Source organism: Homo sapiens, chromosome 9 (assembly GCF_000001405.40).
Source record: "Homo sapiens chromosome 9, GRCh38.p14 Primary Assembly".
NCBI lineage: Eukaryota > Metazoa > Chordata > Mammalia > Primates > Hominidae > Homo > Homo sapiens.
This window is the reverse complement of record NC_000009.12, coordinates 133,203,947-133,230,117: the sequence shown is the minus strand read 5'-3', so window position 1 is coordinate 133,230,117 and position 26,171 is coordinate 133,203,947. Positions and strand designations below refer to the sequence as shown.

General features: G+C 51.9%; 1 protein-coding gene and 1 pseudogene across 7 annotated transcripts, besides 2 other annotated features; both read left to right on the top strand.

Moving 5' to 3' along the window:
* LCN1P1 (lipocalin 1 pseudogene 1) lies at positions 1,471-5,213 on the top strand (annotated as a pseudogene).
* Positions 1,830-2,785: an enhancer, noted in NCBI's record as "H3K4me1 hESC enhancer chr9:136102720-136103675 (GRCh37/hg19 assembly coordinates)". NCBI's record gives its function as "activates a minimal SCP1, AML or CMV promoter by ChIP-STARR-seq in primed H9 embryonic stem cells {active_cell/tissue: H9 hESC(primed)}" and the evidence as "EXISTENCE:reporter gene assay evidence [ECO:0000049][PMID:30033119]".
* On the top strand, positions 6,863-24,839 carry OBP2B (odorant binding protein 2B). 7 transcript variants are annotated; one of them, XM_047423295.1, is made up of 9 exons: positions 6,863-7,085; positions 20,133-20,220; positions 20,732-20,990; positions 21,516-21,649; positions 21,915-21,985; positions 22,782-22,892; positions 23,702-23,803; positions 24,178-24,201; positions 24,443-24,839. In XM_047423295.1, the coding sequence occupies exons 3-8, from the start codon at positions 20,763-20,765 to the stop codon at positions 24,198-24,200; spliced, it is 669 nt and encodes a 222-aa protein (XP_047279251.1). In that variant the 5' UTR covers positions 6,863-7,085; positions 20,133-20,220; positions 20,732-20,762; the 3' UTR covers position 24,201; positions 24,443-24,839. The 7 variants fall into 7 exon arrangements, 5 of the variants coding, with proteins under 5 accessions (XP_047279251.1, XP_016870143.1, NP_055396.1 ...); XM_017014654.2 differs by lacking the exon at positions 6,863-7,085 and having other exon boundaries at positions 20,122-20,220; positions 24,707-24,839; NR_110242.2 differs by lacking the exons at positions 6,863-7,085; positions 20,133-20,220 and adding an exon at positions 22,173-22,278 and having other exon boundaries at positions 20,868-20,990; positions 24,707-24,839.
* Positions 23,462-23,649: a silencer, noted in NCBI's record as "fragment chr9:136081856-136082043 (GRCh37/hg19 assembly coordinates)". NCBI's record gives its function as "represses an EF-1alpha promoter that drives an FKBP-Casp9 reporter gene in an ReSE screen in K562 erythroleukemia cells {active_cell/tissue: K562}" and the evidence as "EXISTENCE:reporter gene assay evidence [ECO:0000049][PMID:32094911]".
* Positions 24,840-26,171: the final 1,332 nt, after the last annotated feature.

Genomic DNA, 26,171 nt, shown 5'->3' with positions numbered 1-26,171 from the left:
AATCTATCTGTAACACCTCAATTTCTCTTTCTAATTTTTCTGTCTTCATTGATTTTGTTGGTACTATCTTCCATGACACTAAGTCTCTTTTCTACTATGTCAAGTCTGGAATTTAACCTGTCTATTGAGTTTTTTTATTCACTTTGTTATTCATCTTCAAGATTTGTAATTATTTCTATTTCATCTCTCCTTGTTTCTTATATTCTGGCCAGTTCTAATTTTATACTTTATATATTTTTAAAATGCTAGGCATCTTGATCATACTCCTGCAGTTTTAAAGTGTGTGTCAGACTTTCCTTAGCTGGTGTAAGTTCCTGTACCAATTGCTCATTTTTAGCCTGCCTTTCTTGGTGTGGTGTTGCCTTGGGTAATTTGGAACCTGGCCTTTCTAGCTTATTTCAAGGCAAGGATATTGAGTCTCTGCATTTCTGCCTTTCTCCGACATCTTGTTGTCACTGTCCTCTGTCTAGCAGTGTTTCGTAGCCTCTGCCCCGGGTCCCAGGCTTCTGCTCTGCAGTGATGTGGAGGATGTCACAGATAAAGTCACCCTTTCTGAGGACGGCTTGTCTCAGCTTCTGCCCTTGAGGCTGTGTCGATGTCCTCTTGCCTTCCTATGCCCACAGTGCTCCACTAAGTTATAAGAAGTTACAGCCCTGGGATGTGTCAAGGAGAGTTTCTCAGCCTCCTTTCTGGAGTCAGGGAAGCCCCTCCCATCACTCCCAGGAGCTGGATCTAGGCCCTCTCTGCCTGCCTTGGGACTTGGAACTGACAGGCCCCTGCCTCTGCCCCATCACCAGCCTGTGCTTCTCCTCCATTCCTGGTTTTATGTGAGTGTGTGTGTGTTTGTGCATGTGTGTGCATGTATATATGTACACACCTGCATACACACACACACACCTGTCTTGGTCTTCTGTCTGTCTGACCTATTGCTGCTCTGTGTGTGGAGCAGAGAGGGTCGTTACTGCACACCTTGCTCAGGACAGTGGACACCGTCCTTAAATGCACACGGTATCGTGTTCACACAGGAGGGTCCCTTTTTTTCCATGATGAATCTGAGGCCAAGTAACCTGCCCAGAGATGCAGGAAGCTCAGCCGAGCCCCAGGCCCACGGCCCTCGGACTCCAACCCCAAACCCCCTTGACGGTGTGCACATCAGCGCATGTGGGATGGCTGGGGGGCGCCTGTTACTGCCGCACATGTCCCCAGGAGGCCTGCACGCCCTTCACTCCCTTCAGTTTCCTCCCAGGTGAAATCTGCAAACCCGCTCCTCTGGACCTGGTCCTGTCCGGATGATCCTCTGGAATTAACAAGCTGTTATTCACCAGCCTCCAGCAACAATGGCACGTTATCTGCTCCGTTGCAGAACTGGCCGTGGTTTACATCCAGGAAGGGATTGGTCAGTCACCTGTGCTAGGTCCCCAGGGGATCCTGAGCCCAGCTGTAAAAAGGGCGGCTGTGGGAGTGGCACACCCTCTCCCAGCCCCAGCAAGTGAACTGTCAGGCGGCCGTGAACTCAGACACCAGAGATGAAGCCCCTGCTCCTGGCCATCAGCCTCAGCCTCATTGCTGCCCTGCAGGCCCACCACCTCCTGGCCTCAGACGAGGAGATTCAGGATGTGAGGCCCGGATGGGAAGGCTGGGCTGGAGGGGGCAAGGGGCGAGGCTGAGACTGCTGGATGGAGACCACATCCCTCCCCCATCCAAGGAGACCCTCATTTTCAGGTTGGGCATTAAAGCCCTGCCCTGAAAGATGGTGAGATGGGACAGCAGGAGTCTGGGCTGGGAGGGGGCCGGGGTGCAGAAGGGCAGGGCTAGGAGGGTGGGGGTCTGGCTGACTTCACTTCTCTCCTGGGGGTGAGGGCTCCTGTGGTCCTGGCCAACTTGCGGGGGCTGGAGCCTTCGGGTGGACCTGGCGAGGGTGCTGGGTGTTTTCTGGGTGGATTAGATTGGGGAATGTTCCCCATCTCCAGCCCTTGGGGTGCGGTAGAGTCTGGGGGCTGCAGGCCAGGGAAGGGGGAGGCTCTGGAGCGGTCAGCCTGAGCCTGATAGAGAGGAACTTTCTCCAGGTGTCAGGGACGTGGTATCTGAAGGCCATGACGGTGGACAGGGAGCTCCCTGAGATGAATCTGGAATCGGTGACACCCATGACCCTCACAATCCTGGAAGGGGGCAACCTGGAAGCTAAGGCCACCATGCTGTGAGTGTCTGCCAGCCGGCCGGGCAGCCTGCAACCTGGTCTAGGGCCTTCCCTTTCCCCACCCAGGAGAGCTCTGGTGCTGGGGAGGTGGGCAGACCTGCTGGGAGGCCTCTCTCAGCCCTGCCTGCTCAGGCAATGCTTGAGGGCAAACTGTGCCAGTGAGGTGCCTCAGCTAGAGGGGACCTGAGGGAGTAGAGGCCCCTGTGGGCTATCAGGGGCAGTGCTGGGTACCACCCACCACCTCCTCCGACTAGGGAATGTGTGGTGCCGTGCAGGCCCCTTTGGGAAAAGGTGTTTACCCCCGATCAGAGTCAGAGCCAGCAGGCAGGGCTTACAGACTCTAGACTTGTAGTCTTGGCAGTAAATTTCTGCTTTGGAGAAGCGCAGGGATGGGGCTTGCAGAATGACCAAGAGGGGGCATAGGACACCATGGAGAAGACCCCCTTGAAGTCCCTGTGTAGCGCTCACCTGTGCGGCTCTCACCTGTGCTGCTTCCATCCGCGTGGCTCACATCTGTGACTTCCCACCTGTGTGATTTCACCCGCGTGGCTCCCACCTGAGTGGCATGCAGTGCCTGTGCTCCGGTCCTGGGGGCTGACCCTTAGGAAGTCACTGACCCTGGCAATGACCCTGATTTTTTTTTTTCCCCAAAAGCCCCTCACTGAACCTTTCCCTCTCTGGGCCAGATGATGATGGGTATGGGGCCTGTCCCTGAATGTCTCTAAAAGGAAGAATGCAGCTGGTGGGATGAGGCTCAGGCCCACGCCACAGACACTGCCTACAAACCAGGCAGCCCGGGTGCATCTGGCAGGAAATGTGTTGGGGGCGGGGGGGTTGGGAAGGCAGCCACCAGGAGGAGCGATGCAGAGCTCCTGGCCACCTCAGGAGACCCCGGGAACTGCCATGTGTGACCCGGAGGGGCTGCTGGTGCCTGGGTCTGAGATGCAGAGAAGCATCCTCCTCCATGGGCCTGTGGCAGACTCAGGGCCACCTTTGCAGGGCATTGTAGCGTGGCTGCTCCAGGGCCGGGGGAGGCACAGGTCAGGGCCGCTTTGCCAGGGGGCTTCTGTTTTCCAGGATAAGTGGCCAGTGCCAGGAGGTGAAGGTCATCCTGGAGAAAACTGACGAGCCGGGAAAATACACGGCCAGTGAGTCCCGGAGCCTAAGCCAGAGCCTAAACTCAAACACACGCTGGATGTGGGGGGGTAGCCAGTGCCTTTTTGGGGTGGCCTTTTGGCCTGCTGCCCCTGACTCCACTAAAAGCCCACTTTCCTCTCCCACTGGTCAATTTGCTTTAGAAATGTGAACACCTGACCCCAAACACCAGGTGTGACGGGTTTGTCCCTGGGTGGACCCTCTGGGCTTTCCCTGTAGCCCTAGCTGCGGCTCTGGCAGGGCCAGGAGCAGAGTCATATTTGGCTGCGGGGGGCTGTACCCCAACTCCCACCTCCGCAGACCTCACACCCGGAGGAACCCCCCGTGACTCACTGGTTTGAGATGTGGCCACCTCTCGGGTGCATCAGGTTCCTGGGAAGTGGGGGTCCCATGGCCTAGGGCTCAGGCCCAGTGGGGAACCTGGGTCAGGGAGCTCTGGGAGGCTGGAAGGGTGCAGGAGCTGCGGGGCTTGCAGGGCCTGGCAACGCACACTGTCCCGGGATCCTCTCTGAAGGCCCCGGTGGCTAATTCAGGACTATGCTGCTGTCCTTCTGCAGACAGGGGCAAGCACGTGGCATACATCATCAGGTCGCACATGAAGGACCACTACATCTTTTACTGTGAGGGTGAGCTGCACGGGAAGCCGATCCGAGGGGCGAAGCTCGTGGGTGGGTCCCGTACCCCCACCCTGCAACCCATGCCTCCACCCACCCTCCCTCCTCCCTCGGCTTCCTGCACCCTCTTCCCCATGGGAGAAGCCACTGGGACCCAGGAACACACTGCAGTTTCCTTAGGATGAGTTTTCCTGATAAAGGCCCCAATTCCCACCCTGGAGTTCAGGATTTGGGATGCCCCGGCCTCGGTCTCTGCAACAGAGGCAGGAAGGAGCCACAGCTGTCGGCACAGGGGCTCAAAGGTCACACGTGTCCCAGAGTGGCCCAGGCCTTCCCCCGGGGCAGCTCCCTGCAGTGTCATCCTTGAGCGCGTTCCTGTGGGGTGTCCAGCAGGGGAGAGGAATGGGGATGTGAGCAGGAGTCTGCGTGGAAAGAACGTTCCAGCTCCCGGGGTTGAATTCCAGACGCGGTGGCTCCCACAGACGGTGGCGCATCAGTGCCGTCCCTGTCGGAGGACGAGGCCCGTGAAGGCTCCTGAGTTCTCCCTGGAGCCAGGGGTGTGTGAATGACAGAGGAATGGGACAGGCGGTGCCCTGGTGCCCCCGAGGGGAGAGGCGCTTCCTCCAGGGCGGGCCTGTCCCGCAGTCCATTCTCACTCCGGGAGATGCTTGGGGATGGACGGAGAGCCCTTCCCGTTCTCCCGGTTCTGCTGCTGCGGGAGCCTTCTCAGCCGTGCACGGCACCCTGGTCCCACTTTGCCAGCCTGAGGACCTCTGGGTTCAAGTCCCCCCACCGTGGGCAAGGTCCCTCTCCCCAGGCTAGCTCAGGCCTCCAGGCTGGGACGGGGTGCCGTCTGCCCAGTGCTGCCTTGAGCACCCGCATCTCGTCCTGGCACCCACAGGCAGAGACCCCGAGAACAACCTGGAAGCCTTGGAGGACTTTGAGAAAGCTGCAGGAGCCCGTGGACTCAGCACGGAGAGCATCCTCATCCCCAGGCAGAGCGGTAGGAGGCATGGCCCTGCAGAGCCCCCCATGTCCCCGCATGGGGACGTCAGCAGAGCTGCATTGCACGGGCGCGTAACTGTACTGTGTCTAATTCTGGCTTTGTCCTTCCTGGGGTGGTGGAGTTGGTGGCTGATGAGGGGCCCCGGTCCTGACTGCATTCCTGGGGTCTCCTGACTCGCCTGTGCTTCCTTTTGCTGCAGAAACCTGCTCTCCAGGGAGCGATTAGGGTGAGCGAACAACTTTAGAGGACATTTGAGAAAATCCAGCCCTGGGGCTCAGTGGCGCTTCAAGAAGCCCTGGGGTATGTTTATTGCGGCACTACTCACAATAGCAAAGACTTGGAACCAACCCAAATGTCCAACAATGATAGACTGGATTAAGAAAATGTGGCACAGATACACCATGGAATACTCTGCAGCCATAAAAAATGATGAGTTCATGTCCTTTGTAGGGACATGGATGAAGCTGGAAACCATCATTCTCAGCAAACTATCACAAGGACAAAAAACCAAACACCGCATGTTCTCACTCATAGGTGGGAATTGAACAATGAGAACACTTGGACACAGGAAGGGGAACATCACACACCGGGGCCTGTCGTGGAGTGGGGGGTAGGGGGAGGGATAGCATTAGGATAAATACCTCATGTAAATGACGAGCTAATGGGTACAGCACACCAACATTGCACATGTATACATATGTAACAAACCTGCATGTTGTGCACATGTACCCTAGAACTTAAAGTATAATAAAAATATATATATGTGTATATATGTATATATATATGTGTATGTGTATATATATACATATATGTGTGTATATATGTGTGTATGTGTGTGTGTGTGTATATATATGTGTATATATATATTAAAAAAAACTCAATTCTGGCCAGGCATGGTGGCTTATGCCTGTGTTCCCAGCACTTTGGGAGGCTGAGGTGAGAGAATCACTTGAAGCTATGAGTTGGAGACCAGCCTGGGCAACATAGCGAGACCCCAGCTCTACCAAAAAAAACCCAAAAATTAGCCAGGCTTGCTGGTGCACACCTGTAATCCCAGATACTTGGGAGGCTGAAGTGGGAGGATTGCTTGAGCCCAGGAGGTCGAGGCTGCAATGAGCTATGATCATGTCACTGCACTCCAGCCTGGGGGACAGAGCAAGACCCTCTCCACAGAGGCCTGAGCACCTTCCAGGTTGTTCCTACCCCGGTGTGCAGCCTCAGCCCTGGGGTAGAGCTGGCTCCCATTTCTGTTATTTCTGTGGTTTGAGAGTCCTCTTTACCCGTTGGTAGCCCCTCTCCTGTTACCAGCTGGGGATTCTTTACAGTAATTTGCTCTTCAAATGACTGCGCGACCTGTCTCCGACACCCTCTCTGTGTGAACCATGGCCTTTACTTTCTGAATTTGGACACTTTGACATCTGGGGCCTTGCTAACCCTGGAGAAAGTGCTTCTCCAGGAGTTGGCTAATTTCTAGAAATAGCAGATGACTTGTCTGTAAGTGTGCCTTCCATATGCAAACCGGTAACCAGTCCAGAGCCTACACCCTCCCCAGGGCAGGGACCATCTGTAAGTGTGCCTTCCATATGCAAACCAACCAGTCCAGAGCCCACACCCTCCCCAGGGCAGGGACCAGACAGCTAGGGACAGCCAGCCCCCACACCCCAGGGCCCGGGACATTATTGAAACCAGCCCGCCCTGAGCCTGTTTACCCTGCTTCCTCCGTTCCTTCCCGTGGGAAACGTGGGAACCGCAGTGCAGGCTCCGCCCGGTGCCTCCAGACAGGCCCTGGTGCTTCCGTGAGGCCCCGCCCCTCCTGTTTCTAGGGGCCTAAGTGTAATAAGCCTCCGTCCCACAGTCATTCCTATGGCTGTGTCTTCCCCCACCAGCCTAAAGCAAACCCTGGGAACCCTTCAATCACCTGCAGCACAGAGTCCTTTCTCCATGTTATGTGGGGCCATCCTGGCGTCCCAGCCCCTGTGAATGAGGCCTCAACACCAGCTCAGCCAGTCCTGGAAGCCATCTGAGAGCTGCTCTACCGCTCAAGCCAATGTGTTAAATACGGCATTTTGGATACGTCGTCACCAGTGAGCCAAGCTGAATGCTAGTTAAAGCGGTGAGGACAGGTTTTATTCAGCAACTTCTCAGAGCCAGGAACAGACTGGTTCCATGCCACTTTGTGCAGGGGAGAAGGGGTGTTCTGAAGGGAGAGTGGTTGGGGGTGCGGGAGGGAGTGGGGGCTCCGGTGAAGAGTTACAGAGTGCTGGTCAGGGTCAGTGCAGTGGGACCAGCTGTGTGGCAGTTATGGAAGGAGGACTCTGTCCCCCAACAGAGTCTGGAAGAAGGAGGCCCATTCTTCCTGAAGGTCACATTTCTAAGGAATGGCTCTCAGGTCCCTGAGAATGACACTTTTTTTTTGTTTTGGAGTCTTGCTCTGTCACACAGGCTGGAGCGCAGTGGCACGATCTCGGCTTACTGCAACCTCTTCTGCTTCCCGGGTTCAAGCAATTCTCCTGCCTCAGCCTCCCGAGTAGCTGGGATTACAGGCACGTGCCTCCACGCCCGGCTAATTTTTGTACTTTTAGTAAAGACAGGGTTTCACCATGTTGGCCAGGCTGATCTTGAACTCCTGACCTCAATTGATCCACCCACCTATGCCTCCCAAAGTGCTGGGATTACGGATGTGAGCCACTGCAGCCAGCCTGAGAAATACACTTCTGCATTGTAGGAGAAACACAGACTTCTCAAAGTGGCAGAGGAAGGAGTCACAGGTGTAAGCCCTTTTTAGCAAAAGCTCTAAGAAGGGGCAGCTGGGTGCTGGCCAGGACACACAGCAAATTCACCTGCAGTGCCGAGCTCTCAGGCAAGCATTTAGGGCGCTGGGGCCACCCCAGGGATGCGCCTCCTGCTGTTGGATGCCATGAGAGCTTGGCGATCTCCTGTCTCCTGGTGCAGGGGCTTGGGCGGAGCCGATCCATGCTGAGAGCTCTGCCGTGCTCAGTACATACGCACTGACACACTCAGCACATACGCACTGACACACTCAGCTTGGGTCCACATTGGAGCGCGGTTCTCCTGGTGTAAAGCCCCTAGAATCCACCCCTACACAACTGCCTCGGGGTAAGATGTCTGAGAAAGGGAAGTCTCATCTCCTCACGCAAAGGAGGAGGGGATGATTCTGCCCAGGCAGGTTCAGGGGGATTGGGTAGGGGAGGAGGGGGTGATTCTGCCCCGGCAGGTTCAGGGAGATTGGGGAGGGGATCAAGATTCTCACTTCCATCTGAGATCACATAAATGTCCCAGTTCTGTGTGTCATGGTCCCACTCCTTAAGCAGTGACCCAACTTTCACATAAAACACTTGGCGACTTTTGAATCCAACTCACCATGCAATCCACACTATTAAATATGGAGTCTGATTTTCAGCCATTTCTGCTCTGTGGCTGCAAGAATGAAATATTATTCTAAGGCCAGGATGGAACATCTCCATTGTCTTGCCTGTTACTGAAGCTCAGACCTTGGCATTTCCTTTCTGAAAGCCCTAGATCAGTCAGGCAGTCCCCGCCCCATTCTCCCTGAAGTCATTACCACGTCTGTGGCCAAGCACAGCAGCCAGTTGGCTTCCCAAAGTCTTGGTTCCAGTGGGTGCCACGTCCCAATGAGCAACCACAGCAAACAATTTAGGGAATTGTGGTGTCACTTCATGCCGTGCCCAAGAGTATCCCATTTTCTATCGACGAGATGCCCTCCCTGCATCTGTGCACACCCAAGCAATCTGCACACGCGCCTGTAGACCTGAGAAAGCCCTGTGGTTGACAAGGGTGGGAAGAACGACTCCAAAGTTCCACTGAGTGAGGGGGAGAAGTCAAATAATTCCAAATGCTTTCCCTCCTTGAGCTGCAGGAGAAAACCGTGAGGAAACGCATCCTCTGGTTGTGAGGCTGGGACTGGGAATAGATATTCATGCTCCCCTTCAGCCGATGGTGCATGGGGTCTTAGAACGCTTTCATTTGTTGGTCAAAAAACCCACAACCACAACCGAGCATGCAGGTTTTGCTGAGACAACTTCAGATGCTTCATTCCAGCTCTTCTTTTCAGTATGTTTCACGGGGCTAAAACGAAGGTTGGCAGGGCTGGTTCCTTCTGGAGGCTCTTGGGCAGGAGTCTGTCCCTGCCATTTCCAGCTTCCAGAGGCCTCCACATGCCTTGGCTTGTGGCCCCTCCTCCACCTTCAAAGCCAGCAGCACAGCCTCTTCTACTTCTGTTCATAAATATTCTCTCTCCTCACCCTCCTCTCTCTCCCTCCCTCGCTCCCCAGCCTCTCTCCTATAAGGGCCCCTGTGATAACAGTGGGCCCACCCAGATAATCTGGGGTAATTGTTCATCTCAGATCCTTCACTGAATTATATCTGTGAAGTCCGTTTTACCATGCACACATCCACAGGGCCAGGGATGAGGATGTGGACATCTTTAGGGGACCATTATTCCGTCTACACATGGGGGACACAGGGCCAGGGATGAGGATGTGGACATCTTTAGGGGACCATTATTCAGTCTACCACATACACACATCCACAGGGCCAGGGATGAGGATGTGGACATCTTCAGGGGACCATTATTCAGTCTACCACATACACACATCCACAGGGCCAGGGATGAGGATGCGGACATCTTCAGGGGACCATTATTCAGTCTGCCCATGGGGGGAACTGGCAATCAATAGGACTGCAAGTAAATGAACAGGGTGTCTCCGGGGAGTGATGTGTCCTAATGGAGCGCAGCTCAGGGAAGTGACAGAGAGAGGAGGGGCTGCATCTTCCATTGTGTAGCCTGGAGAGGCTTCTCTGGGGAGGTGGTTTTTAAAATTTTTATTTGATATATATTCCACATGCCATCATACTCACTCTTTAAAAGTGCCCAATTCAGTGGGTTTCAGTAAATTCACAAGGCTGTGAAACCATCACCACTATCTAATTCCAGGAGATCTTCATCATCTTACAAAGGTCCCTATGCCCGTCTGCTCTCACCCCCATTCTTCCCTCCACGCCCCAGAACCTCTCATCGACTTCCCGTCTGCATGAACTTGCCTGTTCTGGACACTTCATAGAAATGGAATCATATATATGTGTTTCTTATGCCTGGTTTCTTTCCCTTAGCATAATGTTTCAACGTTTGCTCATGTGGTAGCATGGGTCGGTATTTTCTTTTTATGACAGAATAATATTTCATTGTGTGGATAATACCACCTTTTTTATCCATTCATCCATTGGTAGACATTTGAGTTGTTTCTACTTCTTGGGTTTTGTAATGTTGCTAGGGACATTTGTGCATAAATGTTTTCATGGGAACATATGTTTTCATTTCTCCTGGGTGTATACCTGGGAGTGGAACTGCTGGGTCATATGGTATTAAATAATTCTATGTGTAACTGTTGGATAAACTGCCAAACTATGTTTTTCTGAGCAGCTGTGCCATTTTACATTCCCACCAGTGGTGCATGAGGGTTCTAATTGCTCCACATCCTTGCCAACCCTTGTTATTATCTGGCTTTGTGATTCTAGCCATCCTAATGAGTGTGAAGTGGTATTTCGCTGTAGTTTTGATTTGCATTTCCCTAATGACTAATGACATTGAGCATATTTTCAGGTGTTTATTGGTCATTTTTATATCTTCTCTGAAGAAAGTCTATTCATTTCCCTTTTTAAAATTGGGCTAGTTGTGTTTTTATGTTGAGTTATAAGTGTATTTTATATATTGTTGATACTAGACTCGACTCTTGTCAGATATGTGATTTGCAAGTATTTTCTCACGTTCTGTATCTTGTCTTTTCATTTCCTTGACAGTGTCCACTGACGTACAAAAGTTTTTAATTTTGATGAAGTCCAATTTGTCTGTTCCTTTGGTTGCATGCTATTTGGGTGTATAGAGAAGAATTCATTGTCAAAGCCAAAGTCACAGAGATTTACACATCTTCTTAGAGTTGTACAGTTTTAGCTCTTACGTTGAGGTCTTTGATCCATTCTGGTTGAAAGCTTGTGTGTGGCGTGAGGTCCCACCTCAGTCTTTTGCATGTGGACATCCAGTTGTCCCAGAGCCATTTGTTGAAGACAGTTCTTATCTTGGCATCTCAACTAATTCTTGCACCTGTGTTTGTGGGGTGTTGATTTTCTTCAGTTCCTTGGAATCCTTCTTTACCCAAACATCATTTTCTCTGGCCCTGTGGAGTTCCACCCTCTGTCTGCATGGACTGGTATTTAGCTATGGTCTTGAGGACCACTCTGCATGTTTCTGGAGCTCTTCCTCTGCAGAGGGCTCTCCTATCTCTTTCCTTGTCTCCCACATTCTAGTCGTCTGCGATGCCTAGAGTCCAATCTGTGTCCCGTCCACGCCGTCTGACTCCTTGCTCTGTTGGGTTCCTCTCTCTGTGGTGGATTGAAATTCCCTCCAGGCATAAAGCTGCCATGATCCAGCTGAGCTCGTTAGCTCCCATTCTCAGGGATCACAGCCTGCGCTGTCTGTGTCCAGTTTCTAAACACAAGCGTTTTGCACCTGGGGGCCAGTTTCCCTCTGTTTGTGGTGGGACAGTTAGGTCCATCCCCTGTTCTCCTGGATGCCCAGGTAGAAATCAGTGCACCATCCTGGGTTATTGCCGCGTCTTTTCTAACTGCTTTCTCTGCTTCTATATTCGGCCTCCAAATCTGTGCTCAATGCAGCAACTGGAGTGACCCCTTAAATACGTAAGTCACAGCTTGCCTTTGTCAGAGCTCTCCAGGGTCTTTCACTCAGAGCAGAAGCTGAAGTCCTCGTGGTGGTCCTTAATCCCTACATGGCAGTTCCACCCACTCCCCAGCCTCATGTGTGGCCGGTCTCCCTGGATCATTTGCTGTGGCTGCTCTGCTGTGTGTTCCCGGAAACTGCCAGCGTTCTCCCACCTCCAGGCTGGCACTGGATGCTCCTGCCACCTGGACTCCTCTTCCAGCTGACGAGCTCATGGCTTGCTTCCTTCATGTCTTAAATTCGGTGTTTGAATGCCACCTTGGCGGGGCTGTTCCTCATCAATTCATTTAAAGGACAAATAACCCCTTGTCCTGACACTCCTGTCCAACTTGTCCACTTTGCTTTTTCCATAGCACTGATCACCATTTAAAATAACGTATGAACCAGTGACCCATCAGGATCCAGAGACAATAGATTGAACAGGGATTGCTTGCACAATGAACAATCAGCTCTAGAGGTTTAAAGAGAACCACAAAGAATGGCTCAGGATTGCACGAGGGCAGTTAAGGAAGAAATAAACAGGGGTGGGGATCCTTTCCACAAGTCTGGGTTCAGACCTCACGGGAGAAGGTGTGGTTCTCCCAAGGGAAGCTGGAGAAGTTTGCTGGGTTGTCCCAGCCACAGCTGGCCCACGGTCAGGGCAGAGGCCAGCAGGCAGGGAAATGTAGGCTGGGTCTGGCAAGCAGGAAGCCTCTCTCCCCACCCAAGGCAGGTGGGCTGGGGCTGGGAAGCCTGCAAGAGTCACTGGGAACCCACAGGTGCAGATGCCACTGAATCTCAATAGGAAGCCATCTGGGGGCGGTCCCCTGAATTCAATGTGGTGTGTGCCGCCAGACGTCCCCGACTTGTGCCACTGCCATTTGCATAGGAAGAGAAAGAAAAAGGAAGAAATGGAAGCATCTGGAACCAGTCATCCTGGACCCATGCTAGGAGGCGCTTCTCCCTACGCCTCAACCAACAAAGCTTAGCATTGCACCAGGTGCACAAGAGAAGCGCCTGCTGGCTCCAGCTCCATTGCCTCGGAACCGGCCATGAAGGGTACGTGTGGAGCTGGAGGCAAGACATTGATAGCTGGCACTGCAATTCACTTATTTATTGTGTTCATTTTAAGTCCCCTGCACCTAGAATATAAGCCCCCCGAGCACAGGACATTTGTTTCATTGATCGATGTATTCCTTGTGCCCCAAAGAATGAGAGGCATCTAGAAAGTCTGCAAAAATCAAACATAAAAATGAACCTTTATTCAGTCATTGTTATTTTGATGGAAATTTGAGGCATTTCCAAGATTTGTAAGTAACAATTGAACCCTTCTGCTGGTTCATGTGTGGGAGTGTATCTGTTGAAATGATGCTTCTGAGTGGAGTTGCTGAGTCTTTGGCTCTAGGTTTTTTTTTTTTAAGCATTTATGCTTATTGTGGTTTTTAAATTAAACATTTAACCCTGAGACATTGTAGATTCCCATGCAGTTGTAAAAAGCCACACAGAGCTATCATGTGTATCTTCACCTGGCTTGCTCCAGCCCCAACCCCAGCAATGACAGACCTGTTCTCCACTCCTGAAATCTGCTCATTGCAAGAATGTCGTCTATTGCAATCATAAAATTGTGGGATTGGCTTTTTTTTTTCCTGTGCAGCATCATTCTCTGGAGATTCATCCCATTGTTGCATTTATCAATAGTTTATTCCATTTTACTTCTGAGTAGTGCTCTATGGTATGGATGTACCACAGTCTGTTTAACTATTCACCTGTTGGAGGATGTCTGTGTTTATAGATTTGGGCTATGACACATGTACAGGTTTTTGCATGGACATCAGTTTTCATTTTTCTGGGACAAAGGCCCAGGGGTTCTATTGCGGGGTTCTATGCTTGTTGCAGGGTTTTTTTTTTTTAAACCTGTCAAGCCATTTTCCAGAAACTGTCCAGTTTCCATGCATCCTCACCAGGCTTCAGTGTGATCACTATGATCTTATCTCAGCCACCTTAATAGGTATGTACTGATATATCATGGCTTTTATTTGCATTTCACTGATGACTAATGGTGTTGAGCATCTTTTCATGTGTTTATTTGCCATCTGTATATCCTCTCTAGTCAAGTGTCCCTTCATGTCTTTTGTTTACGTTCTATTTTTGAAACTGTTGAGTTTTGAAAAATTCTTTATAAAGTATAGAAACTAATTCTTTGTTGAATATGTAGTTTGTCAATATTTTCTTTCAGTCTTTGGCTTGTCTTTTTATTCTGTTAACAGGGTCTCTTACAGAGCAAAAGGTTTTTATTTTGATGAAGTCTATTTTAACAATTTTTCCTTTTATGGATCATATTTTTGGTGACACATCTAAAATCTCCTGACCCAGCTCCATATCCCAAAGATTTTCTTTCTGTTTTCTAAAGCTTTTATAGTTTTAAGTTTTATGTTTAAGTCTATGATCCATTTTGAGTTAATTTTCTTGCAGGGTGTGAGACCAAGGTTGTGGTTCTTCTTTTTGTTTGGTGGTTTTGTCTGTGGATGTCCAGTTAATCCAGCCCATTTGCTACAAAAGCTATCTTCCATTGAATTGCTTTTGCATCTTTGTAAAAACTTAACTGGGTATATGCGTGCAGGTCTGTTTGAGGATTCTTTATTGTCTGTCCCATTGATCTATGCATCTGTCCATCTGCTAGCTATACAATGAGTCTTGAAAGGGTAGCCTGTAGCTGGGTATGGTGGTGTGCATCTGTAATCCCAGCTACTTGGGAGGCGGAGGCAGGAGAATCACTTGAATCTGGGAGGTGGAGGTTGCAATGAGTCGAGATTGTGCTACTGCACTCCAGCCTGGGTGACAGAGCAAGACTCTGTCTCTAAAAAAAAGAAAGAAGAAGAAAAGGAAAGAAAGGGTAGCCTGATTCCTCCCACTTTATTCTTAAAAAAAAAAGTTTTAGTTATTCTAGTTCCTCTGCCTTTCCATATAAATGTTAGAATAATCTTGTCTATGTCTACAAAAATTCCTTCTGGAATTTTGATAGAAATTGTGTTAAATCTTTATATTATTTGAGAGAAATGACGCTTTTATTATGTTGAGTCTCCTAATCCATGGATATAGCACATCTCTCCATTTGTTTAGATCTTCTTTGATTTATTTTATAATCATTGCATTATTTTCAGCATACAAATCCAGCATATGGGTTGTTAAACTTATGCCTAGGTATCTCTTTTTTTTAGCCACTATAAGTAGTATTGTGTTTTTAAGTTTAGGGTCCGTTACTAGTATGTAGACACACAATTGATCTTTGTATATTTATCTTGTATCCTGCAACCTTGCTGAACTCGCTTAATAGTTCTAGGAGGTGTATTGTTTTCTTTTGTTTTGTTTTTCAGTTTCTTGGGATTTTCTACAGAGACAATCATGTCATCTGCAGATGCAGACAGTTTTCTTCCTTCCTTTCCAATTTGTATGTCTTTAATTTCCTTTTTAAAAAACCTTTATTGCTCTGACTAGAACTTTCTGTACTATGTTAAATACAAGTGGTGAAAGTGGACATCCTTGCCTTGTCCCTGATGTTAAGGAGAAAGCGTTTGTAACTGAGTATCCCAGCCTCAAAATGTGCTTAAAAACTTTTTTCCTTTCTTGCTTTCAGCCTTGAAACATACTTCGAAACTCTTTATTTCTCCCTTTCCCACCAGGCACTTCTGTGAGCAGTGCTCGCTTATCTAATTATGTGCTTACTTAGAAATTCCAGGGGCCAATTTTGAAACAAACCAGGCAGAGAGACCCAGCTGCAGAATCCTCCCTCTTAGGGGGAGTTACAGGTAGCCTACCACTTCCCGGCTGAAATCAGGATGACTCAAACCAGACCTCTGGACAGACGATTAATGACTCATGATAACCATTGGAACAAGATGCAGACCAACATCCTCCTGCACCATTCCCACATATTTCCCACACCTTTTCCTCCTTAAACCCCTTCGCTCAGTCCAGAAAGTTTGAATGGTCTTTTAAAGGCATGGGCCTGGCCATTCCTCTACTGCTAGCATTTGAATAATGCTGCTTTCCTTTCACCACACTTCACTTCTCATGCCTTGACTTCTGAGCAGCGAGCAGCTGGACTTGAGCCAGTTACACATCAGTCTTTCACCATGAGAAATGATGTTAGCCATAGGTTTTTTGTAGATGCTCTTTGTCAAGTTAAGGAGGTTCTCTTCTATTCCTACTTTTCTGAGAGTTGTTTTCCTGAATGCGTGATGAATTTAGTCAAATACTTTTTCTGCATTGATCGATATGATCATGTAATTTTTCTTCTTAACATATTAATATGGTTGATTTTTGAGTATTGTACCAGGTTTCCATCCCTGGAATAAACTGCTTTTGGTCATGGTGTAGAATTAATTTTATATATTATTATTTGCTAATATTTTGTAAAGGATTTCTGTATCTATATTCATGAGGTATATTGTTCTGCAGCTTTCCTTTTTGTGTTGTCAGGTTTTGGTTGGGAGATATTCTCTCATCTTCTGAGATTATGCAGAGTTGGTGTTATTTATTTTTTAAATGGTTGGTAGAATTTTCTAATGAAACCATATGGACATGAAGAATTATTTTTGGAAGCTTTTAAAATTAAAATGTTAACTTTAATTGTCATAGAGCTATTAAAGTTATCTATCTTATATTGGCATTGTGTTTTTTGAGAAATTGGTTCATTTCACCTATGTTGTCAAATATATGTGGGAAGGTCTCTTCGTAGTATTCCCTTATTATCCTTTGATGTCTGCAGGGTCTGTAGTGATAGTCTCTGTTTTGTTCCAGATGTTGGTTATTTGTGTCTTTCTTTCTTTTTTTGTTTGTCAGTCTTTCTAGAACTGCCTCAATTTTATTAATTTTTCCAGAGAACTAGCCCTTGTTTCATTGTTTTTCTCTGTTGTTTTTCTGCTTTCGATTTTTTCTGCTTTCTGCTTTTGATTTATTAATTGCTGCTCTTATCTTTGTTATTTCTTTTCTTCTTGCTTTGGGTTTATTTTGCTCTTCTTTTTCTAGGTTCTTGAAGTGGGAGCTTAGATAGTTGATTTTGGACTTCTCTTTTCTAATATATGCATTTAATGCCTCTCAGCACTGATTTAGCTGTGTCTCACAAATTTTGATATGTTTTTGTTTGTTTGTTTTTGAGGTAGAGTCTCGCTCTGTATCCCAGGCTGGAGTGCAGTGGCACTATCTTGGCTCACTGCAACCTCCACCTCCTGGGTTGAAGTAATTCTCCTGCTTCAGCCCCCTAAGTAGCTGGGATTACAGGTATACGCCACCATGCCCAGCAATTTATTTATTTATTTATTTTTGTATTTTTAGTAGAGATGAGGTTTTGTCATGCTGTCCAGGCTGGTCTCGAACTCCTGACCTCAAGTGATCTGCCCACGTGGGGCTCCAAAGCACTGAGATTATAGGCATAAGCCACTGTGCCCAGCCTGTTTTTGTTTTTTTTGAGATGGAGTCTTGCTCTGTCACCCAGGCTGGAGTGCAGTGGCATGATAGCCCACTGCAACCTCCGCCTCCCGGGTTCAAGTGATTCTCCTGCCTCAGCCTCCCGATTAGCTGGGATTACAGGCGTGCACCACCACACTCAGCTAGTTTTTGCATTTTTGGTAGAGATGGGTTTTCGCCATGTTGGCCAGGCTGGTCTCGAATTCCTGATCGCAAGTGATCCACCCGCCTGGGCCTCCCAAAGTGCTGGAATTATAGGCACAAGCCACCACGCCCAGCTGATATGTTGTATTTTCATTTTCATCCAGCCTAGTATATTTTTAAATTTACCTTCAGGCTTCCTCTTTGACCTGTGGATTATTCACAGGTGTGTTGTTTCCAAGCCTCTGAAGAAAGATTTTCCATTATCTTTCTGGCATTGATTTATAGTTAGATTCCATGTGGTCAGAGACTACCCTCTATATCATTTAAATTTTTAAAAATTTCTTGAGGCTCATTTTCTCATCCAGGATATGGTCTATCTTGGTATATATTCTGGTGCACTTGAAAAGAATGTGTGTAGTGCTGTTGCCAGGTGGTGTGTTCTACAAATGTCAATTCGATTATGTTAATTGATGGGTGGCCGAGTTCTTTGATGTCCCTGCTGGTTTTCTGTCTAGTTGCTCTGAGAGAAGGGTATTGAAGTCTCCAACTATAATTGTGGCTTTTTAAATTTCTCCTTTCAGTTCTGTTTTGCTTCACATATTGTGCAGCTAATGTTTGGTGCACACACGTTTAGGATTACTATGTCTTCTTTGCAGAATGGCCCACTTATTATTGTATAATTTCCCTCTCTGTTAATTAGTCTTTGTTCTAAAGTCTATTTTACCTGTTATTGAAATAATGCTTCTGCTTTCTTTTGATTAATGTTTATATATCTTTTTTCATGTTTTTACTTTCAACCTGTCTCTATTGTTACATTTGAAGTAAGTTTCTTGTAGACGGCATATAGTTGTATAATGGCTTTTAATTCACTTTGCCAATCACTGTCATTTAATATTTAAACCATTTACATTTAATATAATTATTAACATGCTAGAGTTTGTATTATTTTTATAGGGTTGCTATAACAAAATACTACCAACTGGGTGGCTTAGAACAAAAATTTATTTTCTCACATTCTGGTGGCCAGAAGTCTGAGATCAAGTGAGATTTGGAAGGTAGAAAAACCAACAAAATATGTTAATGATGTTACCATTGTGGGCAACTGGGACTCAGTCCTTCTGAGGACCATCTGAGAAATAGGGTGGAACCATATTTGATTGTTCCACTTAGAAGGAAGAGTCCAGACCATTTATCCCATCAGTTACTATCCCTACAGACTGAGGATGCTGATTCACTTGCACATCTGGGTTTCATCGGTGTCAGGGGAAGCACAGAAGAAAAGGTGCAGGCACTTAAGGTGGGAAGCTGTGAATACGTCCGTGCACCAGGAACGATCTACAACTGTGGCAGGTGGGCCGAGAGCGTGGGTCACCAGTGCCTTCAGCCACCCCTTGCACTGCACTGACCCACTCACACAGCAAATCAAGTCCATTTTGTAACTGATGCTTCAGCATGGTGGCCAGCCACCGTCTCTGAAATAATTAAAATAGGTGGTTGGTGGCACAGGCGATGGTCCCTACTGTGCAGTTGGTCTTGCAGCCTTAACTGAGATTCATCGTAAGCTCCCACTCTGCTCCTTCTTGGCGTGCCTCAGTCCCAGCCAGCACATGCTCTGGTCTAGGTGCTTGTTTGGTGGTGCCATCTAAACCTTCTTATGCCCAGGTGTCGAGTAAAGCCCAGACACTGTCCACTTCAGTGAAGCACCTAGGAATTAGCAGCCCTGAAAAGCTGTGATCACTGTGAGATTCAAAGAAAAGGGTCGTGAGGGAAGTGGTGAGAGAGAAAGTTGTGTGGTAGCGGCAGCCCAACAGGAGCCACCATCAGAAGGAACACAGCCATCCAGAGAAGTGCCCCAGGCCACAAAGCACTGGGGGCCAGAGATCTCACCCCTCATGTCTGCCATGGGTTGACCCCCAACCTCCAGCCCTACCATCTCCTGACGGTGTCTGCACCAGTTGAACCCAACCAGTATCTAAAAGGACACAGTTGGCGAATGAGACTGGGACACAGGGCAAGATGGGTGGATGATGGGAGACTCCTGGAGAGCACCCGTCGCACTGAGCGTGGACCTCATGGGAGAGCCCTGTTCTCTGAAGCATCTGTGCATGTCGTTCCAGCATTTTCTTCAAGGATTGAGCCAGCAGCACCAGTGTTGTAAGGTGCTTAGATCAATGATTCACAAACAACCAATGAAATACGAGGTGCCTGGGGTACAGTCAACAAACACAGAGAACAGAGAAACCTTCCCGTTGATGTAGAGACTCCAGCCTGTTTGCTCATCTCTGGTCCTGAAGAGCCCAGGCCCCATTCTTTCCTGCCCGGGGGGATGAGGGTGGGGGGTTTCTGCTCGGCAGCACTTGCCGTGGGAGGGGTGAGGGACTGGGTCACACCAGCCCGTTCGTTACAGCCCCAGGGTTTATTAGAGTGTGCATTAGTATTATTGAGTAAGTACTTGAGAGTGTCTGATCTTGGGCCAGAGAGGCACAAAGATGCCATTGTGTGGGTCCAGCACCTGCCTGCAGAGCGTGGGTCAGCCTTGGGTCCCAGGGAAGATGACACACACCTGGGAAATGCAGGGTCCGGGAGGGAGAAGGCAAAGTTCTGGCTCAGGTTGGCTGGGGATGAGGCCAGCAGAGCCAGGTGCCCAAGGGACCTCAGCCACGAACTCTGAGCACAGGCTGGCAGGTGACTCTTGGTGCCTCATGCGACTTGTTTATCTAAAGGGATGAGATTCAAGGCCTGTCCTGGGGGCTGGGGGCCGTCAAAGCTGACGAGAGAGGGGAATGTATATTCTAACAGGGAGATGGTCGATGAATACGTGCAGGAAGAAATGGACAGGACAATCCAGAGAGATCGCGTGTTCTGAGGACAGCACAGCCAGGCTCCGGTACGGAGTGAAGCGGGGTCGGGGAGGCGGCGGGGTCCCTCATATGGCCCGAGGAGGCCGTATATAAACTGACCCTGAGCCACACAATAGTGCCCTCCTCTGCCCCTAGGAAGCTCGAGTGCAGGGTCCAGGTGGGGAAAATCAATGCAGAGTGGGTCCCAGAGTGGGCGGAAGCTTGGGCTCTAGGGCGTGCGGGACTCAGCTGGCAGCAGCCCCACGTCTCTCTGGTTCTAAAGCCCAGTCCATTTCTGCTCAGCAGGGAGATGGCCAGTTCCCCAGAGGACTTGCCCAGGGTCCCAGCCGTGGCCCTGGGAGGGTGCAGGGGTTGGTGAGGGAGTATCCCGAGGCTGTGGGCCCTGCCTCTGTGGCTTGGGGTGCAGATGGACACCACCCTGCCCTGTCCTCTCGAGTCCTCTGGGCTCATCTGAGTGGGCGCGTTCGGGTGGTGCAAACTCTGGATGGCATCGTGTGTCTTTTCTTCTCTGGCTGGCACTGACTTGCTGTTCACCAGATGCCAGCAATGAGGACACTCCCCCTCCCGGATGCAGGACTGGTTGCCACCATGGGGAGGGGTGCACCGTGCCACGTGCTCCCAGGACACTGGCCAGGGGGCTATAAAGAACATCTCGAGAGGAGCCAGCACAGCCTTGTTCAGACGCCCAGTGACCTGCCGAGGTCGGCAGCACAGAGCTCTGGAGATGAAGACCCTGTTCCTGGGTGTCACGCTCGGCCTGGCCGCTGCCCTGTCCTTCACCCTGGAGGAGGAGGATGTGAGCTGGGTTGGCGTGGGCGGATGGAGGAGCCAGGCGGACTCCTGGGCAGGGGGCAGTGCCAGGGGCCCTGCTTTAGGAGGTGTCACTGAAGGCTGGCTTCTGACCCCGTGCTCCCAGCCTGGGGTGGTGGTGGAGGGGTCCTATTGTTCCTCCAGCAGACACGGCCCCCCGAGGCCCAGGGCCGGAGCAGGCTCGTCTCAGGGGTTCCTGCTGCACTGACGCCTGAAGCCCGAAGGTCTCGCAGGGTTGGGCCCTGTGGAGGGAGGGCTCACCTGGTGCTGGGGCCCGGGGGTCCATGGGGTGCAGACATGCCCTCCTTCCACTGGGGGCTGGGAGCCCTGAGCAGGGGGCTGGCTCTAACTCACTCCAGCTGAGCTCTAACTAAGGTGCAGGAACACAGCCTGCCTTTAAGGGCAGCAGCCGGGCACCATGGGTGTCTGGTTATAGCTGCAGGCCTGAGTGCCAGGGTCAGAGTAGAATCTGGGCCACCCATGGTGGGCTCACGGCCTTGGCCTGCTCCAGATCACAGGGACCTGGTACGTGAAGGCCATGGTGGTCGATAAGGACTTTCCGGAGGACAGGAGGCCCAGGAAGGTGTCCCCAGTGAAGGTGACAGCCCTGGGCGGTGGGAAGTTGGAAGCCACGTTCACCTTCATGTGAGTGTTGCCCACTGCAGGGCCCCTCAGGCCACTTTCGCTCCCCTCCCCAGATCCACCTGGTGCCCATTGCCCCATCCACGTTTCGGGTGTTGGGAAGAGTCACCCCCTGCCTTGGAGGGAAACAGCCTGGGCATCCTGAAGCTCGGTGGGGTGGGGGGCAGTGGAATTTTCAGGTTGCCGGGTCAGGGCCATGCACCAGGTGAGCTGAGGATGGGCCATGGGTGTCCTGGGAGCCGCTGCCCGCGTGTCTCCTGTTTTCCAGGAGGGAGGATAGGTGCATCCAGAAGAAAATCCTGATGCGGAAGACGGAGGAGCCTGGCAAATACAGCGCCTGTGAGCCCCTCCCCCACTCCCACCCCCACCCTCCCCCACCGCCAACCCCAGTGCACCAGCCTCCACAGGTAGAGAGTGCCCAGGCTGCCCTTTTGCCAGGGCCCCAGCTCTGCCCACCTCCAAGGAGGGGCTGGCCTCTCCTTCCTGGGGGGCTGGTGGCCCTGACATCAGACACCGGGTGTGACAGGCTTGTCCGCAGTCGAGATGGACCAGATCACGCCTGCCCTCTGGGAGGCCCTAGCCATTGACACATTGAGGAAGCTGAGGATTGGGACAAGGAGGCCAAGGATTAGGTACGGGGAGGCTGAGGGTTAGGGATGGGGAAGCTGAGGGTTAAGGATGGGGAAGCTGAGGGTTAAGGATGGGGAGGCTGAGGGTTAGGGACGGGGGCCAAGGGTTAGGGATCGGGAAGCTGAGGGTTAGGGATGAGGAGGCCGAGGGTTAGGGATGGGGAGGCCGAGGGTTAGTGCTGCGGAAGCTGAGGATTAGAGATGGGGAGGCTGAGGGGGAAGATGAGGGTTAGGGACAGGGAAGTGGGGCAGGAGCAGCTGCTGGAGCTGGGAAGGCCGGACTCTAGTCCTGGACGTGCTCTGGCCTTGTGGCTCCATTACTTGCATTGGGACCTTCCTGAGAGGAGGCTCCTGCCTCCGTGTCCGGGTCCACACTGTGCGGAGCAGCCAGGCCTGGCTCAGGCTGTCCAGGGCACCTGGGTGACCGCTGAAACATTCCCGAGTGTTTCTTCATGTGGCCCCGAGTGTTCTCTCTGGGAATGACCCATTTTCTCTGTCATCTACAGATGGGGGCAGGAAGCTCATGTACCTGCAGGAGCTGCCCAGGAGGGACCACTACATCTTTTACTGCAAAGACCAGCACCATGGGGGCCTGCTCCACATGGGAAAGCTTGTGGGTGAGGGGCTTGCTGGGGTCTGCGTGTCCTGCCCCACGGTCTCTGCCTCTGGAAGCCGGTGGAACCAGCACCACCATGCCCTGGCATGGGGGAAAAGGAAGCCCCCTGTGCCGGCTTTCATGTGCCGGGCACCGCTGGGCAGCCGGTCCAAGTACCTGAAGTGGGAATGGGATGGGCCAGGCAGGGACAGACATGGCCCTCGGTGACATGAACCTGCCAAGGGCCACTTCTGGGGTCTCGGGTGTAGGAGGGTCACCTTAAGGGGGAGGGTCACCTTAAGCGTCCTAAGAGAGCTCTTCATGGGGCAGGGACCCTCCAGGGCAGGAGGGTGGCCGGTGCCTCTGGGAGACAAGGTCCCTCCAGGTGAGGGCTGTGACCCTGCAGGGTGGCATTGGGAGCTGCCCAGGTCCCCTGGGGTTGCCGAGTGGCTTGGAGAGTCCCCGCCACTGTCCCCCTTCCTGGGGACCTCTCATCTGGGCAGTGACTGTCTCCTCTGTCCCCAGTCCCACCCCTGAGCTCTCATCCATTCTCAAGTCTCCTCTCCTGCTTGTCCGGTGCTGGGCTATGGCCATCTCTTCTGTCCCCGGCCCCACCCCAGAGCTCTGGTCCACTCTTGGGTCTCTCCCCTTGTCCTGGTGCTGGGCAGTGGCCATCTCCTCTGTCCCCAGCCCCACCCCCGAGCTCTGATCCACTCTCAGGCCTCTCCCCCTGTCCTGGTGCTGGGCCGTGGTCGTCTCCTTTCGGCATCTGCTCCCTGCAGGGCCGTGCCGCTGTCCCCACGTCGGCTCACCTGGCCACCTCACCTGCAGGTAGGAATTCTGATACCAACCGGGAGGCCCTGGAAGAATTTAAGAAATTGGTGCAGCGCAAGGGACTCTCGGAGGAGGACATTTTCACGCCCCTGCAGACGGGTGAGGATGGCTGTGCCCAGTCCCCTGTGTCCCTCTGCTGTGTCTGTCTGCTATCTCCAGTGTCCCATGACCCCCATGTCCTCCCATGTCCCCCGCATTCCCCGTGTGCCCCGAGTCTCCTCGCAGGGGCTCCCGGGCCCTGTTTAGCGTCCTCCTCATTGGAGGCTCTGTGCTCTGGGCTGCGATGGGGTCTGGGGCTCCGCGCTCTGGGCTGCGATGGGGTCTGGGGCTCCGCGCTCTGGGCTGCGATGGGGTCTGGGGCTCCGCGCTCTGGGCTGCGATGGGCTCTGGGGCTCTGAGCTCTGGGCTGCGATGGGGTCTGGGCCCTGGTCTAGGGCGCCTTCTAATCCCTGGGTTTTTCTTGGTCTCTGCAGGAAGCTGCGTTCCCGAACACTAGGGTGAGTGAGCCTTTAGGAGGGCACTGGACAAGCCCAGAGTCCTGGGTTCCCGGGGTTCGAGGGTACATCTGCTCTGGCCCCTCCCATCCCACACAGCCAGGGAGACCCCCCCAGGGTCAGGCACGAGGTTGGCACCTCAGAGTCTGCCCACCCACAGTTCCTGGGACATTCGGGAAGTCCTTTGTTTTATCATTCCTGCACCTGCCAGCCCGAGTGAGGGTCCTCCTCGGCCTTTCCACAGCGAGGCCTCCCTCCGGCTCCCTCAGGTGTCAGCTCAGCCCATCGCCCCCTGCACCTGTCCCCACGCGGTCCACTCCCCACCATCCACCCACCAAGGATGCTCAGAGGCCTGCCCAGTCATTGGAGGAGCTGAGGTCGCTCTGGAGCCCCGAGGTTGCCCAGCAGTGGCCGATGTGGGGGCTGCAGAGCCTGGGGAGGGAGCTCTGGCCCTGGCCTCTGCCCTACCCTGCAGCCTCCCTGACCTCTGCTCCTCTTCCCAGCACAGCAGCCCCCGGGTCTGCACCTCCAGAGCCCACCCTACCACCAGACACAGAGCCTGGACCACCTGGACCTACCCTCCAGCCATGACCCTTCCCTGCTCCCACCCACCTGACTCCAAATAAAGTCCTTCTCCCCCAGCTCTGGGCAGGCCTATCTGTGGGGACAGAGGGGCTTGCACCCGCTCCCTGGGAGGTCTGCTGGGAGGGGGAGCCACAAGGGAAGCTGGGGAGATGTTGGACCTAGCAAGGGCCAAACCACAAGAGGCACGATGTCCAACAGGCCTGAGGGGCTGCGTGATGTCCTGGAGGGGCCTCCTGCAGAGCCGCCCTCAGGTCTCAGGTTCAGCTTAGGACAGGCAGGGCCCTGGGCAGGAGCGTTTGGAAAGCTACTGGGGAGGACAGGAGCGGGGACACGGCGTCAGGGCTGCAGCAGTGGGGCCACCGCAGGGCTCCCGCCTCAGGGGTCTCAGAGGGATCCTCCAAGCTCCCCCATTTTAGCAGCCTGGGCTCAGTGGCAGCACTGGAGAGAGGAGCGCTGGAGAGAGGGACACTGGCGCCTCCATCATCACCCCCAGAGCAAGGCAGAGCCGACCCTGGTCTCCGAGATCCTTGGCCCCACCCTGGCCTTCCCATGGCTTGTCCAGGGGCCATGGTCTGTGCAGACACTGGGGCTGCTGGGACATGAGGAGGCCGACCACAGTGAGGGACGAGAGGCCACTGCACCGCAGTGATAAACATGCCCCAGGAACCACAAACCCAAGCTGGACAGGCCTCCTGGGGGCTGAGCCTTCAAAGCGACCGCCTCTCCCCCCGGCCACACCAAGTAACCACTGCCCACCTCCCGCCAGACCAGCATCCTCATCTCCTCCTCTCCCACCTGGACATGATTCTTGGGTGAGGCTACAGGGTGGTCCTGAAGTGAGCCAGGCCAGCAGGGCCCAGGCGAGCCGAGGCGGAACCAACCTGGGTGTCCACGGGCCACATGTGGAGGGCAGGGCAGACCTCACCCTACAAAGATGGGTGAGCAGTAAGCCATCTCCCTCACCCTGTGCTACCATGCAGATTCCAGAAAGGTTAGGATATGTGTAAAAATTCAAGATTGGTTGGTTATTTGCTATTGGATAGAAAACCTAAAAAGTTAAAAAAAATACATATATATGAAATTGGCCAGGTGCAGTGGCTCACATCTGTAAGCATTTTGGGAGGCCGAGGAGAAAGGACACTTGAGGCCAGGTGTTCGAGAACAGCCTGGGAAACACAGTGATACCTCATCTCTGTTTGTAAAAAGAAGAAAAAATAAGTAAATAGTAAAAATATTAACCTGGTGGAAAAGGATTTTTGACACATCTAAGCAGTGGGGAGGGTCTCCTTGGGAAAGACAGAGATTGGACTGCAGAGCGCTGAGCGTGGGTGCAGGGAGATGCTGGCAGGAACAGGAGGTGGGCACATAAGAAGCTGGGAAACCTGTTC